Genomic DNA, 27,945 nt, shown 5'->3' with positions numbered 1-27,945 from the left:
AGAAGAATAAAAACCAATTATTCTCAAACTGTTACAAATATTTGAAGCGGAGAGAATATTTTCAAACTAATTTTACCTATTTGGCATTACCCTGATACCAAAGTTAACCAATGGCACTATAAAAAAGTAAATTACAGGCGAATATCCCTGATGAACACAAATGTAAAAATACTCAACTACATAGTAGCAACCCAAATTTTGCAGTATGTTAATTGACTCATACATTATGATAAAGTAGTATTTATTCTGTGATGCTAGGAATTTTTAACAAACACAAATCAATGAATGTGGTACACTGCATTAAAGAATGAAAGACAAAAACCATGATAGTTTCAATAGATGCAGAGAAGCAGCTGACAAACTCAATCTCCTTTCATGATAAAAACTCTCAGCAAATTAGGTATAGAAGAAATTTCACTCAACACAATAAAGGCCACGCATCACAAGGCCACAGCTAACATCATACTCTAAGGTAAAAATTTGAAAGCTTTTTCTCTAAAACAAAGAGAAGACACGGATGCTTACTCTGGCCACTTGTATGTAACATAGTACGAAAATTCCTAGTCAGAGAATTAAGGCAAGAAAAGAAACTACAAAGCATCCACATTCAAAAGAAATAAGTAAAATTTTGTTTCCAGATGACATGATCATATATAGAAAGTCTTAAAGACTCCAACAAAAAAAAAAACTGTTAAAACTAATGAATGAATTCAGTGCATTTGCAGGATACAAAATCAACACATAAAAATCAACTGCAATTCTACACACTAAAATAAACTACTGAAAAAGTACCTAATGAAACAATGAGGAACTCAGTCTTACAACCACAGTGAATTCAATTCTGCCAATAACCTGAATGAACAAGTAAACATATTCTTCCTTACTGCCTTTAGAAGACAGCAGACTTGCCAATATCTTGATTTGGGTATTGTGAGACTCTAAGCAGAGAAAATAGTTGAGCCATGCTGTACCTGGACTTCTCTGACCTACATAACTGTGACATAATAAACTTGTGCTGATTTAAACTGCTAAGTTTGTGATAATTTGTTACAATAGTAGTAGAAAGTTAATATATGCCAATGGACTGAAACCTCTATGAAGACAGGGTTTATATCTGCCTTTGCTCCTCAAAATATCCCCAGTGAGTAGCTCTGTGGCAGAAAGTAGTTGCTTAGTCAAGATTTGTTGAACTCAAGAGAACCATATAGGAGACAAGGAGAGTTCCTGGGTATTACTTGGAGGCAGGCAGACATTAGAAGAAATATTAACAGAAAAATGGAAATAGGGGAAAACATAGGCCAGTATAGTCAAATGTTCATGATTTTTCCAAGATTCCGCTCTTATAGCTGGTTTTATTTAGAAAAGATGGTGTACATGCTGTCTGGAACAACCAAAAAAAAAAAATAGCCTGTGATACAATCGGCTGTGATATCTGCAAGAACTTAACTCTCTGTGACTTGAATCCAGAGAATTCTGGCAAGTTTAGACAATGCGACACAAGTGTTTATTTCACCAATGTCTCAAATTCCACTGTTTCTTTACAATAATTGCTTTACCCTCATTTAAGTGTTATGTTGTACATGAGCATATTTAAGGTACAGATCGAAGCTCCCTGCAGAATGCCTTGAATCATCAGCTTCAATAGCTTTATAGACCATGTAATCATACAAATAAAATCCCAAAGCCTATTCAGCTTACTCAGAAAAAAACTGCTCTAAATACATTCAATGCTTCTGTATTCAAATAGTTAATTTGCACTATGTTCTGTTAAAGAAAAGAAAAACTGTCACCCTGTCATTTTAGAGTCTGACACTAAGCTTGTCAAAAGAGACAGCTGTTAAACTGAATTACTGTTGACATGCAGAGAAACGGCCCTTGCCAGATGTAAAAGACATCTGCGGCAATGAAGTGGTACAGGATGGCTTTTCAAATGTGGTCACACTGGTATTTGAATAGCATGTCTATGGCATGAAAACATGGCCTTGACTCAGTCCGTTTAAGGCAGCGAACCGAAGCCAATGAGAAGCACAAAGAAATTTCACTCTCTGTTGCTGTATCCATAACTTATGCCTGGGTGTGAAAACAGTACAATAATGAAGACTTCACACTCTTATCTTGTATACAGAAGCAGGGAGGCTTAAAGCATAGCAGAAAATAATTTGAGTTTTCCAGGTCCTTGACTATGTGGATAGGTGAGGCGCAAATTTATGAAGTAGATTATGCAGAGAATTAATGAAAATAAGCCTTGTAATCTAGTAATACGTGTTTCTGTGATAATTGTAAATGGTGTTAAGTTGGTGAAGTTTGGTAGTTGAACTATTCTAACACTGCCTTTCAGGGATCCCAAGGACTGAAGAATTTACAAATGGACAACACACAAAATCTGTAATAAAAATAAGTTGCATTGATAACCAAACAACAGAGGCAGTTCAACAAATATTTGCTAATTGCCTAATATGTCCCAGCTACTGCATTAGGTATTACTCAGAATACATGAAATGTCCCAAACAGAACCCCTTCTTTCTTAAGGAGCTCTTTGTAGTGGGGAGAAAAACACAAACTTTAAAAAGTGTGTTCTGAGTAAGACTATGATAAGAGCGTTAATAGAGGCACAAACCCCCCACATTTTTATGTATAAGAGAGAAAGATCAGCAAAAGTACATAGAGAAGTTAAGAAATCATCACATTATTAAAAACAGGTATATTTTCATAGAACACTATGAAGAAAAAAAGGAAGGCACAAACAATTTCTAAATGATGTTTAACAAATAATTTGGAATTTAGGTGCTAGACTATACAGCACATTATATTATTTTAAAAATTTACTTTTATCAATATTACTTTCAATGCTAAATCATAAATGTATACATTTATATGCTACAATGTGAAGTTTTGATATATGTATACAATGTGAAATGATTAAATCAAGCTAATTAACATATCCATCACTTCACTTGCCTATTGTTGTTTTGTGGTGAGATATTTGAATTTACTAAGTTATTTTGTAATATACAATATATTATTATTGACTATAGTCATCCTGCTGTGTAACAAATCTCAAAACTTATTTCACTTTTCTAACAGAAATTTTAAACAACACATTCTTTTTATTAACTTTTGTTCTAACCATCTCTCACACTTCCAACAGAACTATAGTTACTTGCAGACTAGACAGCAGAAAATCTGAGATTATTCATCCCTAGATGCTAGGATTAACTGAGCAGTTAAGCTGAATACATATCTGATCTTTCTTTTTTATGATTGGTAAGAGTGAATATCTACTAGCTTGGAATAGACCCAGGAATAGACAAGAAACCATCTCAGAAAGAGAAAGGTGATTCTGCTGCTGTATTAGATACTATTATTCACTATTTATTGGGCTAGTTGCTTTACATTATCTCAGTCAACAGGCACTTTAATGCTTTGGGGAAATATTTACTATTACAATATTTCAGATAAGGAAACTGAAGCTCTGAGTGATGAAATCACTTGCACATACTGCACAGCTAGCAAGTGGTGGATCTCTTGAAATACTTGAGGCCAAAGCCTCTTATCCTCTGTTACTTAAAACTGATTTTTCATGCTTTGGAGTAGAAGCTAGATAAGTTTGCAGAAATATCTGTAACTCCACTTTAAAATTTGCCTTTATTCCCCATCTAGTTAACTACTACTCTCTAAGACACCATATATTCTTAGTTGGCCCAAAATTTCTTGGTGAATCATTTGGTTTGGCTACCTGTGAATCATAAGAGAGATGGATAGAAATATTCAAAGACTTTAATTAAACAAGAAAGACCTGCAAGGACCAGCTTCATATAGTTCAGAATCATGTCCATTTCGCTGTCAAAAAACTTAAAAGTGTAAGAAATTTGGAGCTGTGTATAATCCTCAATATTAAATTTATAGTAGCCACTTTTAAAAGCATCGCTGACTTTTTTTCACCCTCATAAATAATGTTATCTTTGGGTTTAAAGGGCTGATATATATCATAAATATCTAACTTGCTACTGACATAGTGGGTTTCAGATCGTAGGACAAAGAGTGACAAATTGGGCTAGAAATGTGGTCATTTTAACCATATTTTAGTATACAATTCAGTGGCATTAATTACATCCACAATAGTACACAACCATTACTACTAAATATTTCCAAACAGAAACTCTGTACCCATTAAGCAAGAACTCTCATTCCTCCCTGATCCCAGCCCCAGCAGACTCTTTTTGTCTCTATGAATTTGCTTAATTTAGAAACCTCATGTAAGTGAAATCATGCAATATTTGTCCTTTTGTGAATGACTTATTTCACATCGCATAATGTTTTTAAGGTTCACCCATGTTGTGGCATGTATCAAACTTCAGCTTTATGGCTGAGTATTATTCCATTGCATGCATATACCATATTTTGTTTATACATTCATCTGTTGATAGACACTTCAGTTTTTTTCCCATATTGTGTCTATCGTGAATAATGCTGCTGTGAATACCGGTGTTCAACTGTCTATTTGAAAGCTTAATTTCAATGCTTTTTGAGTTTATAATGAAATGAGGAATTGCCGAGTCATACGGTAATTTTATAATTAACTTTGTGAGGAACTGCCAAATTGTTCTCCATGGCAGATGCATCATTTTACATTCCCACCAGCAATGCACAAGGTTTCCAGTTTCTCCACATTCTCATCAACACTTACTTTCCACTTTCTTTTAAATTATAGCCATCCTAGTAGGTTTGTAGTGATATCTAATTGTGGTTATAATTTGCATGTCTTTAATGACTAATGATGTTGAGATTTGTTTCATGGGTTTATTGGCCATTTGTGTATTTTCTTTGGAAAAAAATTTATTCAAGTCTTTTGTCCATTTTATTTGTTGGGTGTTTTGTCTTCTTTTAATTGAATGGTAGTGGTGGTTGAGTTGTCCTCAATATATTCTAGATATTAATCCCTTAGCAGATATATGATTTGCAAATATTTTTCCCATTCTGTAGATTGTATTTTCACTTCCTTTATTGTGATCTTTGATGCACAAAATTTTTATAAGAAAATTCATTTTTTCTTTTATAGCTTGTGCTTTTCTGTTATATTAAGGAAACCACTCTCAAAACCAATGTAATGCAGATTTTCCTCTATGCTTTCCTTTAAGTTTTCTAGGAATCCAATATTGAGTAGTAGCTAATTTAGAGTTTTTCAATTCATTTTGAGTTCATTTTTGTATGTGGTAAAAACTAAAAATCCATCACTCATATTTTGGCATATCCAGTTTCCCTAGCACTGTTTTTTTATTATTATTTTATTTCCCAATTTAATGGACTGGGCATTTTTGTCAAAAGTCATTTGACCATATATGTGAGGACTTTTTCTGGGCATTCAGTTCTATTCCATTATTTCTATATGTCTGTCCTTATGCCAGTTACACATGGTTTGGAGTACTATATCTACCTTTGTAAATAAGTTTTGAAATCTGGAAGGGTGAGTCATTAAACTTTGTTCTTTTATAAGACTGTTTTGGTTACTCGAGGTCCTTTTAGATTGCATATGAACTTTAGGATGGGTTTTTACATTTCTTCACAAAATGACATTGGGATTTTGATGAGGATTACATTGATTTTCTAGATTATTCTAGGTAGTGTTGATATCTTAACAGTATTAAACCTTCAAATCATAAACACAAGAAGTCTTTCATGTTTTTTCTTTTTAATTTTCTTTCAGTAATATCTTATAATTTTTAATATGTAAGCATTTTTCCTTCTTGATTAAATTGATTCCCAAGTATTTTTGAAACTATTGTAAATTTATTTTTTTAATTGCTTTTTCAGATTACTTATGCTGTTGTGTAGAAATGAGGCTAATTTTTATGTGTTGATTTTGTATGCTGCAATTTTGCTGGATTTCTTGATGAGTTCTAACAGTTTTTACTGTACTTTTCAGGGCTTACTAGAAATAAGACCTTGGTATCTGAAAATGTAGTTTTACAATTATGTTCTAATTTGGGAAACTCTTATTAATTTTACTTGTCTAATTGCTCTTCCCAGAATTTCTAGTGTATATTACATATAGTTATGAAAACAAACATCTATGTTTGGTTCCTCATCCTAAGGGGAAATATTTCAGTATTTCTCCACTGATGTTAGATGTGGGCTTTTCATATATGGTTTTCATCATATTGTGAAAGTTTCTTTCTGTTCCTAGTTTATAGAATGTATTTATTATGAAAATGTGCTTGATTTAGTCAAGTGTATTTTCTGCATCAATTTATATAATCATTTTTTCTTCAATCTATGCCTGTGATGCATTACATGGATTTTTTTTTTTTAAATTCAACCACACTTACTTTCCTGAGATAAACCCCACCAGATCATGGTGTATAATCCTTTTAATATGATATTAGGTTAGGTTTGCTAGTATTTTTTTCAGAATTTCTGCACATATATTTGTATTAATTGGGGTTCTCCAGAGAGACAGAAAAAATATGATAGATAGATAGATAGAAATAGATAGATAGATGAAAGCAGATTAGTTAGGGGGATTAGCTTATGTAATTATGGAGGCTGAAAAGTCCCAAGATAGGCTGTCTGCAAGCTAAATAATTAAGAAAGCTGATGATGTAACTCTCAGTCGAAAGGCCTGAGTCCAAAGCCTGAGAACCTGAGGGGTTGCTGCTACAGGTCCTGGAATTCAAAGGCCAGAGAACCTATGGTTCTAATGTCCAAAGGCAGGAGAAGAAGAGTGTCCCAGCTCCCAAATCCAGAAAGAAAATTTGCCTTTCTTCTGCCTTTTTGTTCTGTCCAGGCCCTCAGCCGATTTGACGGTGCCTGCCCACACTGGCTGAGAGTCTTCTTTACTCAGTCCACAGATTTAAATGCCATTTTCTTCTGGAAACATCCTCACAGACATACCCGGAAATAACTCCCTATCAGCTATTTGGGAATTCTTTAATTCAGTCAAGTTGATCCCTGAAATTAACCCTCATAATATTCATAAAAAACATTAGTGTGTACGGTTTTCTTTGTAATGTCTTTGTCTGGCTCGTTTATCAGGGTAATGGTGACCTATAGAGTGAGTTAGAAAGTATTCTTTGTTTCTATTTTTTTGGTAAAGTTTGAAAAGAATTAGTTTGCATTTTTTTAAATCTTTGGTAGAATTTACAAATGAATCCTTCTAGTACTGGGTTTTTCTTTGTTGGGAGGTTTTTGATTATGGATTAAATTTACTTATTTATTTTAGGTCTATTCAGGAATTTGTATTCCTTCCTATGTCATCTGTGGTATTTTTTGCATTTCTCAGAATTTGTCCATTTTACCTAGATATGCAACTTAGTGACATACAGTTATTCATAGTAATATTTTATAAATGTTTCTATTTCCATGATGTCAGTAGTAATGTTTCCTTTTTATTTATGAATTTAACAATTTTCCTCTTAGCCAATCAAGGTAAAGGTTTTACAATTCTGTTGATTTTTTTTTCAACAAACCATTTTTGGGCTGTATTGGTTTTCTATATTATTATTTTTTCTCTATTTTGTCTATTTGTATTCAAAATACTTAGACTTTTTTTCCTTCATGCTACTTTTGGCATTAGCTTTTCATTTTCTGGTACCTCAAAGTGTACAGTTAGGTTATTTATTTTAGATATTTCTTTTTAATAAATGCATTTACAGATATAAATTTCCATTTTAGCACTACTTTTGCTGCATTCTATGAGTTTTAATATGTTGTGTTTTCATTTTCATTTGTATTGAAGTACTCTCTAATTTACCACAACACTTTTTTTGACCTCTTAGCTAATTGAGGATATATGTTTGACTTTCCATATATTTGTGATATTTCAAGTTTTCTTTCTGCAACTGACTTCTGGTTTTACTTCATTGCCATCAAAAAATATTTTGTATAATTTCAATTTTGAGGTTTATTGAGACTTGCAGCCTAACACATGATCTGTTCTGAAGGATAGTCTTTGTGTACTTGAGAAGAAAACATATTCTACTGTTATACAGTGAATTGTTCCTATGTATTTATTAGGTCTAATTTTTTGTAGTTTTATTCATTTCCTCTGCTTTCTTACTGATCAGTTGTCTTGTTCATTCTATCATCTTATTGCACATTCAATAGAGCTATTGTGATCTCGAACACTCTAGAACTCTATTTCTTTAATTCTTTTCAGTAATTCTGCACGTATTTGAGGAATCTGTTAAGTGTATATATATATATATATATTTATAATTGTTATATCTTCTTGGTGAATTAAAAAATTTATCAATATATAATGTCCTTTGTCTTCTCTGACCTTTTATGACTTAAAAAATCTATTTTGCCTGATAATTTGCCATCTTTCAGACTATCACTGATCCAGAAATTGTGTGAGGCAAGAAAAAATATAACATCACAAAACTGTTAAAGTTACTTTTATTTAACTTGGCTTTTCTTGGTGGCTATAAATCTTTGACTGTTTTTCATATTTATGATACTTGGATATGACCGGTTTCTGGTTATTTTTTGATGTTTCTGTAAAGAAACAGAAATTTGAAAGTTCCTACTCCACTAATTCCTGTTGTCATTTCATATTGTGTTAATTTTTAGTTTTATTTTTCTCTTTATAAGACTTTTGAGACAGAGTTTCGCTCTGCTTTCAGATTCTCCTTTTGCTTTAGGTATTCCAAAAATTTGACAATAATGTGTCTCAGTATGGATCTTTTTTAGTTTAATCTGCTTGGAATTTGTTGGGCTATTTTATATGTAGTTTATGCCTTTCATTAAATTTGGGAATTTATCAGCTATTAGTTCTTCAAATACTACTTCTGCCTCTTTCTTTTTCTCTTCTCCTTCTGAGACTTCCATAATGTATATGCTGGTCTGATTGATGGTGTACCACAATCCCTTAGACTCTGTTCTTTCTGTCCCTCAGATTAAAAAAAATCATTTGGCCTAATCGTTATATATGCTGATCCTTTCTTCTGCCTACTCAAATTTGTTTCTAGAATTCTCTAGTGATTTTAAAATTTTGATTATTGTACTTTTCAGCTCTAGAGTTTTTATTTATTTCTATAATTTTTGTCTCTTAAATGATAACCTAATTTTGATCCTGCATAGTTTTATTTGTTTCTAATCACCACAAAACTTTTCAAGTTACCTTTTTCTATTTGGCTTTTCTTCGTGGCTATAAATCTTTGACTCTTTTTCATATTTCTGATATTTGAATATGACAGTTTCTGGTTATTTTTTGATGTTTCTGTAAAGAAATGTGAGTTTGAAGTTTACTCCACCAATTCATGTTGTCACTTCATACTGGGTTAATAATTTGTCTTTTTTTTTCTCTTTATAGAACTATTATTTTTCTTGAGACAGAGTCTCATTCTGTTGCCCAGGCTGGAGTGCAGTGGCATGATCTCGGCTCACTGCAATCTCTGCCTCCCAGGTTCATGCAATTCTTGTGCCTCAGCCACCCGAGTAGCTGGGATTAGAGACATGTACCACCAGCCCAGCTAATTTTTGTATTATATGAGAAAAAAAGGAGGAACTGCAAACTAAAATCAAAATACCGTGTGTTTTACTTACCCACATAGTTACCTTACTGATGATTTATATAGTTTTTCATATAGCTTTAAGTTACTGTTCAGTGTCCTTTTATTTCAGTCTGAAGGACTTCATTTACTATTCTGGTAGGTCATGTCTTACAGAAACAAACTCCCTCAGCTTTTGTTTATCTGGGAATGTCTTAATTTCTCCTTCATGCTTAAAAGAGTATTTTTGCCAATTATAGAATTAATCATTGATTGTTTGGGTTTATTTTTTGGCACGTGAAATGTGTTATTTCACTGCATCCTGGACACCATTGTTGCTGATGATAAATCAGCTGTGCATCTTACTGAGAATCCTTTGCAACTGATCAGTCACTTCTTGCTCTGTCACCCCAGGCTGGAGTTCCGTGGTGTGATCTCAGCTCACTGCAACCTCTGTTTCCCAGGTCCAAGTGGTTCTTGTGCCTCAGCCTCCAGAGTAGCTGGGATTACAGGCATGTACCACCAGCCCAACTAATTTTTGTATTTTTAGTAGAAACAGTGTTTCCCCATGTTGGCCATGCAGGTCTCAAACTCCTGGCCTCAAATGATCTGCCCATTTCGGCCTCCCAAAGTGCTGGGATTACAGGTGTGAGCCACCATGCCCAGTGAATTCTTACTGTAAGATATTATACTCATTTATTTTATGTCCTGATACTCAGTTGTCTGTTCATATTTAAGAATGATTTTGCTTTTTTATAAGTAGTTGATGATTTATCATTGTTTTTGTGTGTGTAGATCTGTGTCCATAATTGGCCTTTTTCCTTAATGTGAAGCTTGAGTATGGGCTCTTTGTACATTGGTAAGATGTGTTACTTTGCAAGATTTCATTTTGGGTGCATTTGTGGGGAGTCTTATGAGTATATTGTGGAGTAGATTGTGGGAGTCCTTCAAGTGACAGAATGAGGATATCTTTATTCAACTATATCATATCCCACATTTGGAACCCAAGTCCTGTGCAGTCAGTTTATTCACTTTCTTTATTAAATAAACTTAAGGGCATTTTGCCTGCTGGTAACTACCAAGTTTCCTATCATTCTAGAAGGTGCGTGTGTAGGGGGGGTGCATGGAGAGGTACTAATTAGTGATGTTTCCCTGTTTTCAGCCTTATATCATTCCTGTGTTCTGTATTTGCCTGTAATTTCTCTGGTATTCCTCTGGAAATGTTGGATCTTTTCTCCACACTGTGTACATGCACTGCTCTGCCTAGCCTGTTAATATGCTCTCATTAATTTTCTATGTTATATAATTATTTCTTTGTAATTTTTTATTTCCTGTCATTTCATAGGGTTTTAAAGAGGAATGAAGAGTGAAAAATGTGCTCAGTCCACTGGGTGGAAATTAAAACACACCAAAATGATTGTATTTTGTGGGGTGACATTTCTTGCCACCAAAACTGTGCTGAAAGAAATTTTCAGTTGTAGAGTACTTTGGAAAATAAAGAAATAAGAAGTAGGCCAGGAGCAGTGGCTCACGCCTGTAATCCCAGCACTTTGGGAGGCCGAGGTGGGTGGATTACAAGGTCAAGAGATCGAGACCATCCTGGCCAACATGGTGAAACCCCATCTCTACTAAAAATAAAAAAAATTAGCTGGGCGTGGTGGTGCTTGCCTGTAGTCCCAGCTACTCGGGAGGCTGAGGCAGGAGAATCACTTGAAACCAGGAAGTGGAGGTTGCAGGGAGCCGAGATCGCTCCACTGCACTCCAGCCTGGTGACAGAGTAAGACTGTCTCAAAAGAAAAAAAAAAAAAAGAAAGAAAGATAAAAAATAAGAAGTAGTATTAAAGAGGAAAAATGCCTGGGCTTTGTTATGGGAAGCTTAGTCAAACATAAGGAGGAATTTGTGAAAGAAAAAATTAGAGGCTTTAAACTTAGACACCAGCCTAAAATTCCTCTATTGGTAAAACAAAGTGGGAAGGGGATAAATCTGAAAAGAATATCTATTGAGTAATTTTCTTTATTATGTGACAGGTGGAAATCATGAGCTAAAGCTTTACTTGCTTTGTTACAAAACTTTATTAAAGTTTTAAGTTAATATAATTGAGGCTGTGTCATGTTAATATATTAAAAGATCAATCTTCTGTACTTTAAAAATAAGTCTTTATTGTAAAAGAACTGAAGATTGACCATCTGTGAGCAGTAGACAATTAATTTTTTGCATGTTTGAAAATTACATATCTCCTGTGCTGAGAAACGCTTTAATGGAATTAGCTATGAAAAAATTGCAAAGTGTTATTAAAAAGGAACAAATGACATGACCTAGACATTCCCTCATTATATAGTACCAAGTATAAAAATTGTATTTTTTCTCTTGGTTTCAAAATATGTAAAATTTTAGTCCAAAAGAATGAAGTCCTTTCTAGGTTTACTGCTTTTTGAATCCTTTTTTATTCATTAATTGGATCAATATTTATTAAGCACCTACTATGTCCCAGGCACTTGTAGGGGTATTGTGAACATAATGGTTAACAAAATAGACAACATCTCTGTCTTTATGGAGTTTTCTGGGAATTCAGAAAATAAAAAAGTAAATAATAACACAGAATAATTATAAATCCTAATTATAAATCCTAGTAACTACAAAGAAAACACATACTGTTAAAGAATAAGAAGGTGGGAATATTTTAGATAGTATAAACAGAAAAAAACCTTTCAAAGGATATGATATTTAAGTTAAAACTTGAAGAATTAGAAGGTGCTAAACATAGAAAATGCAGGAATGGAAATACAGAGGGACATTTCTGGCAGATGAAACAGCAAGAGTGAAACCTTGAGGCTAAAGCCTTTGCAAAATTTATAAATGAATTTACTCGTAGGAAATTACAGTTGGCCCTTGAACAACATGGGTTTGAACTGCATGGGTCCACTTACACATGATTTTTTTCAATAAATATCTATTTTCTCCCCTTCCACATTCTCTATGTCTTTTACCTTTGCTGTATCTGAGAAAGCTGACCAACCTCTCTTCTTCCTCCTCATCCTCTTCAGCCTACTCAACGTGAACACAATAAAGATAAAGACCTTTGTGATGATTCATTTCCACTTCATGAATAGAAAATATGTTTTCTCTTTCTAATGATTTCTTAATAAAATTTTCTTTTCTCTAACTTACCTTATTGTGAGAATAAAGTATACAATACATGTAACATTGACAGTATTTTTTTCTGAAAGATTTTATGTAACTACAGAAAAAAGAAAACGTGCTAATTTACTATTCATGTTATTGATAAGGCTCTCAGTCAACAGTAAGCTACTAACTTGTTTTAAGACTTTTATATTATGTTCAAGGGTAAATGTGCAGGTTTGTTATATAGATAAATAGTGTGTCATAGAAGTTAAGTGTAACACATTATTCACTCACCATGTAATAATCATAGTACCCAGTATGTAGTGTGTTTTTATTCTTACCCTCCTCCCTCCCTCCACACTCAAGTAGAGCCAAGTGTCTGTTGTTTCCTTCTTTGAGTCCATGCACTCAATGTTTTGTTGCCACTTATAAGTGAGAACATGCAGTATTTAGTTTTCTTTTTCTGTGTTAGTTCATTTAGGTTAATGGCCTCCAGCTCCATCCATGTTTTTGCAAAGGACATAATCTTGTTCTTTCTTATGGTTGTGTAATATTCCATGGTTTATATGTATCACATTTTTGTTATCCAGTCTCCTGTTGATGGGCATCTAGGTTGATTCCATGTCTTTGCTATTATGAAGAGTTCTGCAATCAACATGAATGTGCATGTGTCTTTATGGTATAAAATTTTATATTCCTTTGGGTATATACCCAATAATGAAATTGCTGGGTTAAACGGTAACTCTGCTTTGAGTTTTATTGAGAAATTACCAAAATGCTTTCCACAACGGCCGAACAAATTTACATTCCCACCTGCAGTGTATAAGTGTTCCCCTTACTCCACAACCTCCTCAGATTCTGTTTTTTGTTTTGTTTTGTTTTGTGTGTGTGGTTTTTTTTTACATTTTAGTAATAGCTGTTCTGACTGGTGTGAGACAGTATCTCATTGTGGTTTTGACTTGAATTTCTCCAATGATTAGTGATGTTGTGCATTTTTTTCATGTGCTTGTTGTCCATGTGTATGTCTTCTTTTGTAAAGTATCTATTTGTGTCATTTGCCTACTTTTTAATGGAGTTTTTTTCTTATTGATATGTTTAATTTTCTTATGGATTCTGGGTATTAGAGCTTTTTTGGATGCATAGTTTGCAAATATTTTCTCCCATTCTGTCTGTAGGTTCTCTGTATCCACTGTTGATAGCTTATCTTGATGTGTCAAGCTCTTTAGTTTAATTAAGCCTCACTTGTCAATTTTTGTTTTGTTGCAATTGTTTTTAACGTCTTCATAATGAAATCTTTCTCAGGTTCTATGTTCTGAATGGTATTTCCTAGGTTATTTCCAGGGCTTCCATAATTTTGGGTTTTACATTTAAGTCTTTAATCCATGTTGAATTGATTTCTGCATGTGATGTAAGGAAGGGGCCCAGTTTCAATCTTCTGCATACGGCTAGCCAATTCATTTATTGAAAGGGGAGTCCTTTTCCCATTGCTTGCTTTGATTGACTTTGTCAAAGATAAGATGGTTATCAAAGATAAGAAGCATTGCTTCTGTGCTCTTTATTCTGTTTCATTTGTCTATGTGGCTTTTGTTACCAGTACCATGCTGCTTTGGTTACTGTAGCCTTGTATTATTGTATAAAGCTGGATAATGTGAATCCTCCATCATTGTTGCTCTTGCTTAGGGTTGCCTTCGTTATTCAAGCTATTTTGTGGTTTCTATAAAATTTAAAATTATACTTCTGTGAAAAAAATCATTGGTAGTTTGATAGAAATACCATTGAATCTGTAAATTGTTTTTCGCAATATGGCTATTTTACAATATTTATTCTTCCTATCTATGAGCATGGAACGTTTTTTCATTTGTTTTTGTCATCTGTGATCTTTTTTTTTTTTTTTTTTTTTTTTTGAGACAGAGTTTCGCTCTTGTTGCCCATGCTGGAGTGCAGTAGCGTGATCTCGGCTCACTGCAGCCTCCGCCTCCCTGGCTCAAGCAATTCTCCTGCCTCAGCCTCCCAAGTAGCTGGGATTAAAGGTGCCCACCACCACGCCTGGCTAATTTTTTGTATTTTTAGTAGAGATGGAGTTTCGCCATGTTGGCCAGGCTGGTCTCAAACTCCTGGCCTCAGGTGATCCACTTGCCTTGGCCTCCCAAAGTGCTGGGATTACAGGTGTGAACCACTGCACCTGGCCAGTCATCTGTGATTTTTTAAGCAATGTTTTGTAATTCTAGTTGTAGACATCTTTCACCTCCCTTGTTAGCTTTATTCCTAGGTATTTTATTATTTTTATTATTATTGTAAATAGAATTGGGTTCTTGATTTGGCTCTCAGCTTGAATGTTGTTGGGGTATAGGAATGTTACTGATTTTTGTACATTGATTTTGTATCCTGAAACTATACTGAAGTTGTTTATTAGCTCAAGGAGCTTTTTGGAAGACACATTTGGGTTTTCTAAGTATAGAATCATATTGTCTGCCAACAGAGATAGTTTGACTTCCTCTTTATCCTTTTTAAATGCCTTTTATTTCCCTCTCTTAACTGATTGCTTTGGACAAGACTTCCAGTACTATGTTGAATAAGAATGGTGAGAGAGAACATCCTTGTCTTGTGCCAGCTTTCAAGGGGAATGTTTTCAGGTGTTGCTCATTCAGTATACTGTTGGCTGCAAGTTTGCCCCAGATGGCTCTCATTCTCTTATTATTTTGTTGTATGTTCTTTCAATGTCTAGTTTGTTGAGGGCTTTTAATATTAAGTGATGATAAATCTTATCAAAAGCCATTTCTACATCTATCAAGATAAGTCTGTGGGTTTTGTTTTTAGTTTTGTTTGTGTGGTAAATCACATTTATTGATTTGCATATGTTGAACTAACCTTGCATTCCAGGGATAAAGCCCACTTAATCATGATGGATTTGCTTTTTGATGGGCTGCCGAATTTAGTTTGCTAGCATTTGTTGATGATTTCTGCATCTATGTTTATCAAGAATATTGCCCTGAAATTTTATTTTTGTGTTGTATCTCTGCCAGGTTTGTTATCAGGATGACACTGGCCTCAAAGAATGGTTTAGGGAGGGTTCATACACCTCAATTTTTGGAATAGTTTTAGTAGAAATGGTACCAGCTCTTATTTATACATCTGGTAGAATTTGGCTGTGACTCCATCTAGTCCTGGACTTTTTATGGTTGGTAGGCTTTTTATTACTGATTCAATTTCAGAATTCACTATTGATTTGTTCAGGGATTTAATTTCTTCTTTTCAATCTTGGGAGGTTGTATCTTTCCTGGAATTTATCCATTTCTTCTAGGTTTTCTTTCTGGTGTGCATAGAGGTTTTTGTAGTAGTCTCTGGGTTTTTTTTTTTTTTTTAATTTTGTTCAGTTAGTGGTAATGTCCCTTTTGTCACTTCTGATTTTGTTTATTTTTATCTTCTCTGTTTTCTTCTTTGTTTATCTAGCTAGCTGTTTATACATCTCATTTATTGTTTATAAGAACCAACTTAGATTTGTTGATTAATTTTGGGGTTTTCCCATCTCAATTTTATTCCGGTCAGCAGATTTTGATTATTTCTTGTCTTCTGCTAGCATTGGAATTCGTTTGCTTATGTTTCTCTAGTTACTCTAGGAGTGATGTTACGTTGTTAATTTGAGATCTTTCTAACTTTTTTATGTGGGGATTTAGTGCTATAAACTTTCCTCTTAACACTGCTTTGGCTATGTTTCAGAGATTCTGGTAGGTTGTATCTTTGTTTCAATTAGTTTCGAAAAATATTAATTTCATTTTTTGGTCTTTCAGGAGCAGGTTCTTTAATTTTCATGTAATTGCATGGTTTTGAGCAATTTTCTTAATATTGATTGTTGTTTTTATTGTGCTGTTTTCCAAGAGTTTGTTTGGTATGATTTCAGTTTCTTTGAATTTGCTCTGGATTGCTTTATGTCTGATTGCAGGGTTGATATTAGAATATGTGCCACGTGGTGATGAGAAAAATGCATATTCTGTTGGGATTTAGTGGAGAGCTCTGTAGATGTGTATTAGGTTGATTTGGTCAAGTGTTGAGTTCAGGTCCTGAATGTCTTTGTTAGCTTACTGGCTTAATCATCTGTCTAATACTGTCAGTGTGGTGTTAAAGTCTCTCGTTATTTTGGGGTGAAAATCCAAATCTCTTCATAGGTCTCTAAGAACTTGCTTTATAAATCTGGGTGCTCCTGTGTTGGAAGCATCTATATTTAGGAGAGTTAAGTCTTCTTGTTGAACTGAATATTTTACCACTATGTAATGCTCATCATCTTCATCTTTTATGATCTTTGCTGGTTTAAAGTCTGTGTTGTCTGAAATTAGGATAGCAACCCCTGCTTTTGTCTGTTTTCTATTTGCTTGGTAGATTTTTCTCTGTCCCTTAATCTTGAACCTATGGGTGTCATTGCATGTGAGATGGGTCTCTTGAAGACAACATAGACAGTGGGTCTTCCTTCTTTATCCAGCTTTCCAGTTTGTGCTTTTAATTTGGACATTCAGCCGGTTTACATTCAAGGTTAATATTTATTTATGTAGATTTGATCCTGTCCTGTGTTGTTAGTTTGTTATTATGCAGACTTTTTTTGTGTGGTTTCTTTATAGTGTCAATGATGTGTGTACTTAAGTGTGTTTTTTTAGTGGCTGGTGATGGTCTTCTCTTTCTGTATATTTAGCACTCCCTTAAGGGCCTCCTGTAAGGCAGGTCTGATGGTAATGAATTCCCTTAGTATTTGTTTGTCTGAAAAGGATATTATTTCTCTATCACTTATGAACCTTAGTTTGGCTGGATATGAAACTCTTGGTTAGAGTTTCTTTTTCTTAATAATGCTGAACATAGGCCCCCAGTTTCTCTTCTGGCTTGAAGGTTTTCTGCTGAAATGTCCACTGATGAGGTTTCCTTTGTAGGTGACCTGCCTCTTCTCTCTAGCTGCATTCAATATTTTTTCTTTCATTTCAACCTTGGGGACCTGATGAATGTGTGTCTTGGAGATGGTCTTCTTCTGTAGTATTTCACAGGGGTTCTCTGGATTTCCTGAATTTGAATGTTGGTATCTCTAGCAAGGTTGAGGAAGTTTTCATGTATAATATTTTGAAATGCTTTCCAAGTTGCTTGCTTTCTCCCACTCTCTTTCAGGGACACCAACGTGTCATAGGTTTTGTTTCTTTATATAATCCCATATTTCTCCAAGGTTTTGTTCACTCATTTTTATTCTTTTATTTTTAGTTTTGTCTGAGTTAGTTCAGAGAACTCCTCTTCAAGCCCTGAGATTCTTTTCTCAGCTTGATCTACTCTGCTGTTAATACTAGCCATTGCATTATTAAATTCTTATAGTGTGTTATTCAGCTCTACCAGATGAGTTTGGTTCTTTCCTATAGTGGCCATTTTGTCTATCATCTCCTTTATTGTGTTACTGTAATCCTTAGCTTACTTGGATTGAGTTTCAACTTTGTCCTTAATCTCAATGATCTTCATTCCTATCCATATTGTGAATTATATTTTTGTCAGTTCAGCCATTTCAGCCTCGTTCATAAGCTTTGCTGGGGAACTAGTGTAATCATTTGGAGCAAAGAAGACATTCTGGCTTTTTGAGTTGTCAGAGTTCTTGTGCTATTTCATTCTTATCTGTGTGGGCTGATGTTTCATTAACTGTGGTATAATTTGAGTACAATCAGTTGACTTATTTTCTGGATGTTTTCAGAGGGCTGAGCCTTTGTCCAGGGTCTTCATTTGTAGCAGAGCCCTTGCCCTTGGTTTCACAGGGGGTTACATTAGCAAAGTATTTTTCACGTTGAAGTTTGAGCTGTGACCCTGTAGACAGTGCTCAAGCATAATGGCTGGTATATAGGCTCTTGCTTAGCCACATGGCTCCTTTGTATTTCCTCACAATTGCAGCCATTCTCCCTCTAAATGCTCTAAAAATTTTGGGTTCTCTCTCATGTGACTGTTGGTTGCAGCCCTTGGCTTGGCATTTCCAGGCTGTACACTGCAGCCCTGGGGCAATCTCAATCTTTAAGTTCTTTCCCCAGCTTTGAGGCAGTAGGAGAAGAAAACTTGGAAGTGGCAATGGCAGTGGATCTTTCACTTGTTTCTTGGGGCTCCACCTCATAGAAATGCAGAGCCACTACCAATCAGTCAAATTGACTTGGAATGGGACCACTGCATTTTGGGCCCAAGCTGGGGGGCCCTGCCTGGTGAGCGGTGGGAGGGGCGTGGCTCGCTGGGGAGACCAATGGTGTCTTCTGCTTAGGACAGCTGCACTTGCTGGAGATGTGGTTAAAACACTCAGGATCTTTGCTGTTCTCCAGTCCAAGAGCAGCAAGGGCAGTACCATTGCAGTGACAGTGATGGAAGGGCTTTCAGCTGCCACTGGAAGCTCCACCTTAGAGAAACACGGGGCCACTGCTACTGGGAATTTTTCGGCCAGGGAGTGGAGCAGCTGCTCTGCTGGCCCAAGACAGGGGCCTAGCTTATTGAAGAACAGGGGGTCTAGGGTTTACAGATAAGACAAATTGGGCTCCTCTCCTTATGGTGACTGTGTCATGCTGGGAGTGTAAGTAGAGCCCTCAGGTTCTTTGTTCCTTCTCTAGTCCAAGGTGAGCAGGGGCAGAACTGCTGTGGCTGTCGTGGCAGTGGCAAAAGGGTTGTTGGTTGCCTCTGGAAGCACCTCCCCAGGAAAACACAGGACCTTAGCAGTGGAAATGCTCAGTCTAGGGTGGGGCAGCTTTTCCAAAAATCCCAAGATGGGGGCTTTACCTGGTGAAGAATGAGGGTTGAGGGCTCACAGAGAGGAGAAACGGAGCTCCTCACCCTATGGTATAGGGAGGGTGTCATGCTGCAATCATGAGTAAAGCCCTCAGGCTCTGTTTCCTCTCCAGTCTGAGGTCAGCAAGGGCAGAACCACTGCCTTGGCAGTGGCAGAGGGGCTGTTGTTTACCTCTGGGAGCTCCTCCCACAGGGAAACACAGAGCAACAAGCAGTAGAAATGCTTGGTCATGGGTGAGGCAGCTGTTCTATGGTTCTGAGCAAGGTCCTTGTCTGGTGAAGAGTAGAAGGTGGAGGCTCACAGGGTAGAAACACTGGGTTCCTCTTCACAGGGTGACTGCAGTGTACTGGAAGGTCCAGCATAGTGACCAGGCACTTTGTTCCTTCCCAACCTAAGGACATTAAGGGTGGTACCACTGCAGCTGCATTGGTAGAGGGGCTGTAGGTTTGTCTCTGGGATTCCCTCCTCAGAGCAATACAGAGCTGCCACCAAGTAAAGTGTTCAGATGGGGGCAGGGTGATTGTGCTTGGAGCCCAGGTCAGGAAACATTGCCCAGTGAAGAATAGCAGAGGTGGGTAATTGTGTGGAAGACAGTCTGGCCACTTTTCTGTAAGGCTGCTGCTTTGCACAGGGAGGGAGTGGTCGGTGGCAGGGAGGAATCGGGAGTCAGTCAGGGTGGAAGTCTGAGTAAGTCCCCAACCACTATACTCCCTCCAGAACCAGAGGATAATAGGAGTGAAGGCTGCAGAACAGCAAAAATGTCAGTCTGTCTCTCCCTCTGGAAGCTATATCCCAGGGGATTGCAGAGCTGCTCCCAGCCCCAGAAGTTAGGTGGGGCTGGGGTTGCCTCACTAGCATACCAGGTGAGACTTATCCTGTGAGGTGCAATGGAGGTGAGGCCTCCAGTGCGTTGCTGCTAAATCCTGTGGATTCTGTCCATTTTCTGGAGGCACATGAGGGATCCAGGCCTCCCTTATTGCTGGAGCTGTTGCTGCTTGTGCCGGGATGCCCAGGGATCCAAGTCTCCCAGGACTCCACATGTGCCTGAGCAGCAGCTCTGTCCAGACCCCATGTAGCTTTCTATGTCAGTCTGGAGGCTTTGGTGGGGAGGGCTCACAGAAGAGCTCCTGAACCTCAGAGATATAAAGTTCCATGGTAGAAGCATGTGTCCCTGAGGACTGTCAATCACTCACTATTTCCTTGCAGTAGGGAAGAGGAGAACAACCTGACCCATGGCCTCCCCTGTCTTCATGCCAGTCCTCGGTGGGCAGTTTTCCTATCTTATTCGTCTCCATTTTCCATAGGTCAGGTCGTTCCCTTGATGAATCCCAATGTGTTTACCTGCAGGTCACTGAGTGACAGACAGAGGCTGCAGCAGGGTCACTTAGGGCCTCCTGGCGATGAGCGGTGGCGAAGGGGTGGCTCACTGGGAAGAACAGCTGGCATCTTCTGCTTCAGGCAGCTGCATTTAAGGGATATCTGGCTAAAGCACTCAGGGTCTTTGCTGTTCCCCTTTGCCTGAAGGACACTGTAGCAAAGGATATGGAGCAGTAGAGATGGGACACAAGCTGGGCTGGCTATTAGTTTTTAGTTGTCAAAAGTTATACGTGGATTTTCAACTGTGTGGAGGGTTGGTGCTCCTAACCTCCATGTTGTCCAACACCCAACTGTCTATGTTTATAGAGGCAATATAGTATTAACACTTAAGTGTATGATCTTTAAAGATCAGATAGCTGATGTTCAAATCACAAATTTATCACTTCCGCTAAGTTTTTACACTAGTTTTAAGATCCTGCCTTGTCAAATAACTTCATCTGTGAACCAAACACATCATAAGCACTTGTAAATTATAGTTATAATTTTTTCTTCATTCCTTACTAGACCATGAATGACTTTAGTTCACAAACTACAGCTTAGTAACTATTATATCTCAAGAGCCTATCAAAGTGCATGATCGGTTCTAGCCAATGTTTAATGAATGAATAAAAAAGAATAAAGCATATATATGTGTGTGTGTGTATATATATATATATATATATATATATATATAAATGCTGATGTTTTATTTGGAGTCACTGGAGTAAGTTTATCTAGGGATATATGAAATGCATAATTTAGTGGGGTTTATTTTTGGAAAGTTTTCATGAAATGCCTATTGTAGAACAACCCAGAAAGAGACCAACCACCTGATTAGAGTTCGAACCAGTAAATAGTAAAAAAGAGTTTTTTTATCATGTTGCAAACATGTTGCCAGATATCTTTGTTACTTTATTAGACCACCAGATCACCAGATATATTCATCATCTAACATTTATTCTACACATGATATATCATGTAATTTTTGCTATGACCTATGAGGTAGATGATATCATATCCACATTGTGTAGGTAAGGAAATGAAGGCATAGGGAACATATATAACTGGTCCCCACGTTTACAGTTAATAGAGGGTAGATCCAGGTCTTGAACTATACAGGCTGCCTCTAGACCTAACTCTCTTAACCATTATGCTACATACATGAGGTAAGAGTAACACAGTTGCCTCAGGTCCCTTTTGTACAGATTCAAAATTAAAAATTCAAAAGAGGGTAGACAATTACTTTCATTTTTAAAAAAATGGGCTTATTGCCAAAGGGACGTAAACATGGAAACCTTAACAAGTACAAAGATGTGCAAATCAGTCCAAAATCAGAGTACTCAAAAATTAAAAGCACGTCTTGTTCTATTACAGTATAGTTTTATTTTTTTCTAATTTACTCAAGATTATTTAGGTAATACACAACTTTCTCATTTAACTCACTAAACATTAGATTTCAGTAGCATTGAATTATTGTGATTATACTCTTTAACATTTAAAAATACCAGCAATAAATTATACATTATAGAGAGAGTATAAAATATACCCTTATTGCAACTCTTTGGCAATAAGTAAATCCTTGACCTGCCTTTGGAGAAAAGACATGTAAAACATGGAGAATGTAGCTCAAGAGGAAAATATATCAAGAGCTAAAAAATAAAACAAAATAAAAACCTCTCTTGTTTTATAAGTTTAGATCTATGAGAGACATGTAGTTTCTAAAGTTTGCTTTGGTGTCCACTTCACCTTTTGCAAGATTCCCTTTCCCCACTTCTCTTCCTCTATTCTCACAAACAATTAATGAAGATCTTGCCTGCTGCCTATCAAATACATGTATTCATAATAATCAATTTCTGGGCTGTGAGATATTATACATTAGGAAGGCATTCAAAGAAAAGTATGTGCTATCCTCTCAGACACTCAGACTTGATCAACAGAAAGTTATTTGCATGAACATTTCCCCAGCTTCTGTTAAGAAGAGCCCTCAGTGTGTTATCATTTACAGTTATGCTTTTGGCCTTTATCATAAGCTGATAAAGAAAAGCCACTGGAAGATTATTTGCTGTTTATCTGTTGTCAAACAAGTGTCTGAATACATCAGTCAATGTCCTCTAGAAAAGGTTCGGTATGATAAATTACTTTGTGTTTCTAGCATTAGAAAAATGTTTGTTTTTCCTGAATAATTGATAAGCTTCTGTTTATCAAATAATAAATGAAAAAGGCAGAGAAGTAGCAATCAGAAAGATAACCAGGAGCATGCAATATCATGGAGCTCAAGAGAAGAAAATTATCAAAATTTGTAAGTGGTCAGAAAAGGGGATGATTTGTGGGATAACGCTTCAATTTGTTCATTGGTAATTTTTATGATAGTGGATTAAGAGGGGCCGGCATTGAGTCAATCACAGTCTAATGTTTTGTCTTTAGCTTTCCTCCTGTCCCCTGGGGCCTTTATACAGAGCCTCATTCAATTTTCTTAACCTAGGACAGCCATCCAGGGTTTCTAGTTACTATGCTGGTACTCAACTATTAAAATTCCTTTCATATAAATTTCACCCTTTTGGGGAACAAGTCACAATTTTTTTTTTTCCGAGTAAAGGGAAATAACTTCTTGGCAACATATATTTTATACCATGCTTTAAAACTTCTGTCTTTGTTCCTTAACCCATTTGTCGCACTGATGACCAGTGAGAGAGTGAATAGATTCATCCAAAGACTTGCTTTCCGGAATCTCTCAAATCACACTGCTTAAGCATTTTTCTATTATGCTTCATTATAGATGTTGGAGTAGGCCAACAACCACAAAATGGTAATCTCATTAAATTACATGTATAAAAAATATGATAAATACTTGTCTTATCAGGTACTTTTTCATCGCAAATTGTAAAAAACCAGCCCTTGATAGAGTGTTTAGCATAGTCCTTCTTTTTTTTTTTTTTTTTTTTTTGAAACAGAGTCTTGCTGTATCACCCAGGCTGGAGTGCAGTAGCATGATCTCGGCTGACTACAACCTCCAACTCCTGGGTTCAAGCGATTCTCCTGCCTCAGCCTCCCAAGTAGCTGGAACTACAGGTGCCTGCCACCACACCCAGCTAACTTTTGTATTTTTAGTAGAGACAGGGCTTTCAATATGTTGGCCAGGCTGGTCTTGAACTCCTGACCTCGTGATCTCCCCGCCTCAGCCTCTCAAAGTGCTGGGGTTACAGGCGTGAGCCACTGTGCCCAGCCCTGCATAGTCCTTCTTTATAAGAAAAAATAATAGACTGATAATTGGAATTTAAGAAATAGACCACAACAATTTATCTTTTAATGTATTGTATTTTAAGATCTTTATTCAAAGCTCAGATAAATGTAAAGGTGGCATAGAAGGAAAGAAATTGCACTTGAAACTAATTCTGCTTTCTATAGGGCTTTCATTCAAGAATGAATACATTAATTTTCCATATGTCGTTTCTGAGACCACACTCCACAAAGTCTCAGAAATTAAAGGCACTAGATATAATAAAGGTGAGTATAAAGTGAAGGATTAAAACAGGTTGGTATGTAGAAAGTCTATATGAAGAGCATTAGACACCCAGAGCTCTTCTTCTTGCCTGGTTAGCTAGAAGCCATTATCCACATTTCATCCCTTAAGGAGTAGAATGTTCGTTCTTTGTGGAAACTAAGTGAAAAATTCTCCAGGATCTTGAATACCGGGAAAAGCTAGTCATAATATTTAGGGGCTACAAAAGAGATTAAACAAAAGTTTATGTACTGAATGCCAAGACACCAGTTCTGTACCCTGTCTAGATCCCAGTATTCTGATATATATTTCAAAGGTTCCAAAGAGCAATAATGAGATCCGGCACATTCTGGGTACTATGGCAGTAGAAAAGACAATTTTTGGAGGAGAGTAAACAAGGCAATAGAAACAATTCTCATAAGGACATCAGATCTCTCATAAGTAACTCATAGGTAAAAACTAATAGAATATTGTTTCAAAATTATAAGAAAAATGATTTTGAACCTGGATATCTACACTCAGCCAAACAATAAAGTTAGAGATGTGACTACGAATTTTCAGATATGCAAATATACACACCTTTGAGTGGCATAAGGAGAAGAGCACTGTCAAGAGTTTGAAATACTTCAGAGTGAAAAATTAGTTATCAGAAAATAAAGTTCACAGAATTTGCCAAAAAGAAACATATTCTTTCAGGTTTGGATTAATCTTTTTTTGTTTAAAAAAAAATTTGAAGTGGGTGGAGTAAATTGGAAGTGAGAAAGAGAAGTCAATGTGTACAGAAAACTTTGCCAAAAACTTAACTGTGAAGAGGAGAGAAAGACAGGACAGAACAGCTTTTATATAAAGTTGATTTTGTTTTTTATTTTATGTTTTCCCTTTAAGCTCTTGAAGTCATTCTTTAAGAAGAGCTCTTTTATTGAGAGAAAATTAAGTATACATGTATGTTGATGGACATAGACAGAATGCAAGCAATAAAAAGCCTGGAGGTAGAAAGTCAGAACTGGTGCCGCAGCTTGAGTTATCACAGATATATGTTACTTTTATCTTTGTGTTCCACTTCTTAATACATGACTTCCATTATCAAGGTCATGTCACAGTCCAAGATGGTAATTGCCATCAGCAGGAAGAAAGTAGAAACAAGGAACAAAAAGTGGATTCTCCTCAATCAGCTTTCTTTAAGGAACATTCCTAGAAGAGCCGCATAAAAGTTTCACATACAACTTCTTGGCCAGAACTTAGTCATATGGTACATTTAGCTACAAAGAAATATGGAAAATGTAGTCTTTTATTCTAAGTTCCAATGTGCCCAGCTATAATTTGGCATTCTGCCTATGGGCATTTCTGTATCTGGGATGACTCTTCAAAGTGACTATGCTCTTTTGTCCCTGCAACAGACAGACTCTAATATAAACTTTCCTCTGGGAAAGAGTATAACCTTGGCAAAGGTCAATACACAATGATGGACAAAGCCATGAGCTGTCAGTAGTTTATCTTTTTAGTTGCTAGGCAATGGATACAGCCAGGAAGAAGGAATCTGGGAAGAGCACTACAATATGCACTCTATCTGGTAAATGTGGTGGAGACAAAAACAAACAGGTAAGTGATGAGTATATTGATAAATGAATTGTTAGAGCACAAGGTTGCAACTATATAGGGAAAGAAAAGGGCTAACAGCAAGAGACTAAAAATTTTTATGAGTTGGATACAGTATGGTAAAAAGTTTATATTTCTAACTCTAAAATAATTCAAGACTAGAATTTCTGGTAGGAATGTAGTAATTGGTAAATCTAGCATCAAAACTGGGGAAAACTGAATCCAGCACCTTTGTTCTTATCTCTCTGACAACAGAGATTGAGATGCAGTAGAAACCAGTGATCCAGCTGTCATGTACTAAAAAATGACAGTGAGTGGCTGAGAGGCATAAACCTGACAGAGGGAATGAGGGAAAAATATTGTGTGGCATGAACCTCAAAAGAGTAATTTTTAACAGCAATATGAGAATGTAAGACTATAATTCTGGATCAAGAAAGATGCCATACCCATGGTACCATGGCACCAGATCAATTTTCAGTTCTGACCTTAAGAAGAATGTGATTTTTTTTCACCAAAACACGCAAAGATGATTTCTCCCCTACTTATCAATCTAGCCACTCACCCACTTGTAGATAAGACTGCTAAGCTGCCTGAAGTGTGGGAAGCTAATCTCCATAAAAGAAGTTAGGTACACTGCACTTATGTTAGAAATTGTAAAGCCTTCTGCAGGCTTTCCTAGGATTAACAAGTAATAGTAACCCAAGATTCTCAGGTTTTGGGGGACACACTGAAAAATTATCCACTGGTAACTTGCACCTTGAGTTCTTGTTACAGAAAAGTTTCTGGAAAAAGCCTAGCCCTGGTACAACAAAAATCGATTGAATCCAGAGATGCCTGAGTTGGAGATGAACTTTGTTGAACTCTTCTCATTACCATACTAAAAATCCTGCCAGAGATGAGCTTATTGTCCATTTTCTATACATGTGACATATGTAGAAGCATGATTGACAACTGCACCTGTACTGACTCCATCTCTATATAAAATGACTCAGCTAAATAGCCTAATAAAAGCCCTGTTTTCACCTTTTTGGGGGAAGGCCCTGTTTTGTGGTACTATCCCCAGTGTCTACATTTCTTGTTGCAAGTAATAAAATCCCCTTCTTGGAACAACACACACTGGGGCCTGTGGGGGCTGGGGAGAAGGGAGAGCATCAGGATAAATAGGTAATGCATGTGGGCTTAATAACTAGGTGATGGGTTGACAGGTGCAGCAAACCACCATAGCACACATCTACCTATGTAACAAACCTGCGCATCCTGCACATGTATCCTGGAACCTAAAATAAAATTCCCTTGTTAAATCCTCCTTGATGACTAATAGCAATCTGTGATAAGTCATGAGGGCTTTGAAACAACAACTTAACAAATGTAGACATGTAGTAGGAAAAGTGCAGCATGGCATGCCTAACAAAAGATATATTCTTCATATTATGGGCTACAGTAGTCTTAGTTTCTTATTGAGGAAGGAACAGTGACTATACCAGAACCTGATGTTTACTCTCCACATTTTACATTCTATATGCATATATAGTAAACTGCATGAGTTCTTACTCCTGAGAGTGAGGTTAGTCATTTTCAACAAATCTATATTAAGACTATTACAGTCAAGAATCCGATGTGGAGTGCTTAAAACTTGAAAACAACAAGATTTATAGAATGCTACTTCTATTAAACTTATTAATCTGTTTGTGCACTACACATTATACAATATATATACCCAAATAATACCTGAAATTTAATTGATTCCCATAGAAGTAATTGACCAATCACATCATAAGCAAACCATCTTATTTTTTCAGTTAATTTGATCATAGAACAAAGATGCAAAAGCTGGAGTTTTCTAACTCAGTACTGCTCTGTCATTGTTTCTGTTCTGCTCTGAATTTTTGCTCATATCATATCTGTAAAATAATAATAATACCTTATATTATATAGCTATGAAAATGCTAAGCTGTTGATATATGCAGTATCCCATTTTTTAAAACAATTAATAATATATTGTATTTAACTCAATATGTACAAAATTTCATTATTTCAACATGTAATTAATCTAAAAATAATGAGGTATTTCATAATCTTGTTTTATTTTCTTAATTTTATTTTCATT

Source organism: Homo sapiens, chromosome X (assembly GCF_000001405.40).
Source record: "Homo sapiens chromosome X, GRCh38.p14 Primary Assembly".
In the NCBI taxonomy this organism is placed as follows: domain Eukaryota; kingdom Metazoa; phylum Chordata; class Mammalia; order Primates; family Hominidae; genus Homo; species Homo sapiens.
This window is presented reverse-complemented; position numbering follows the sequence as displayed.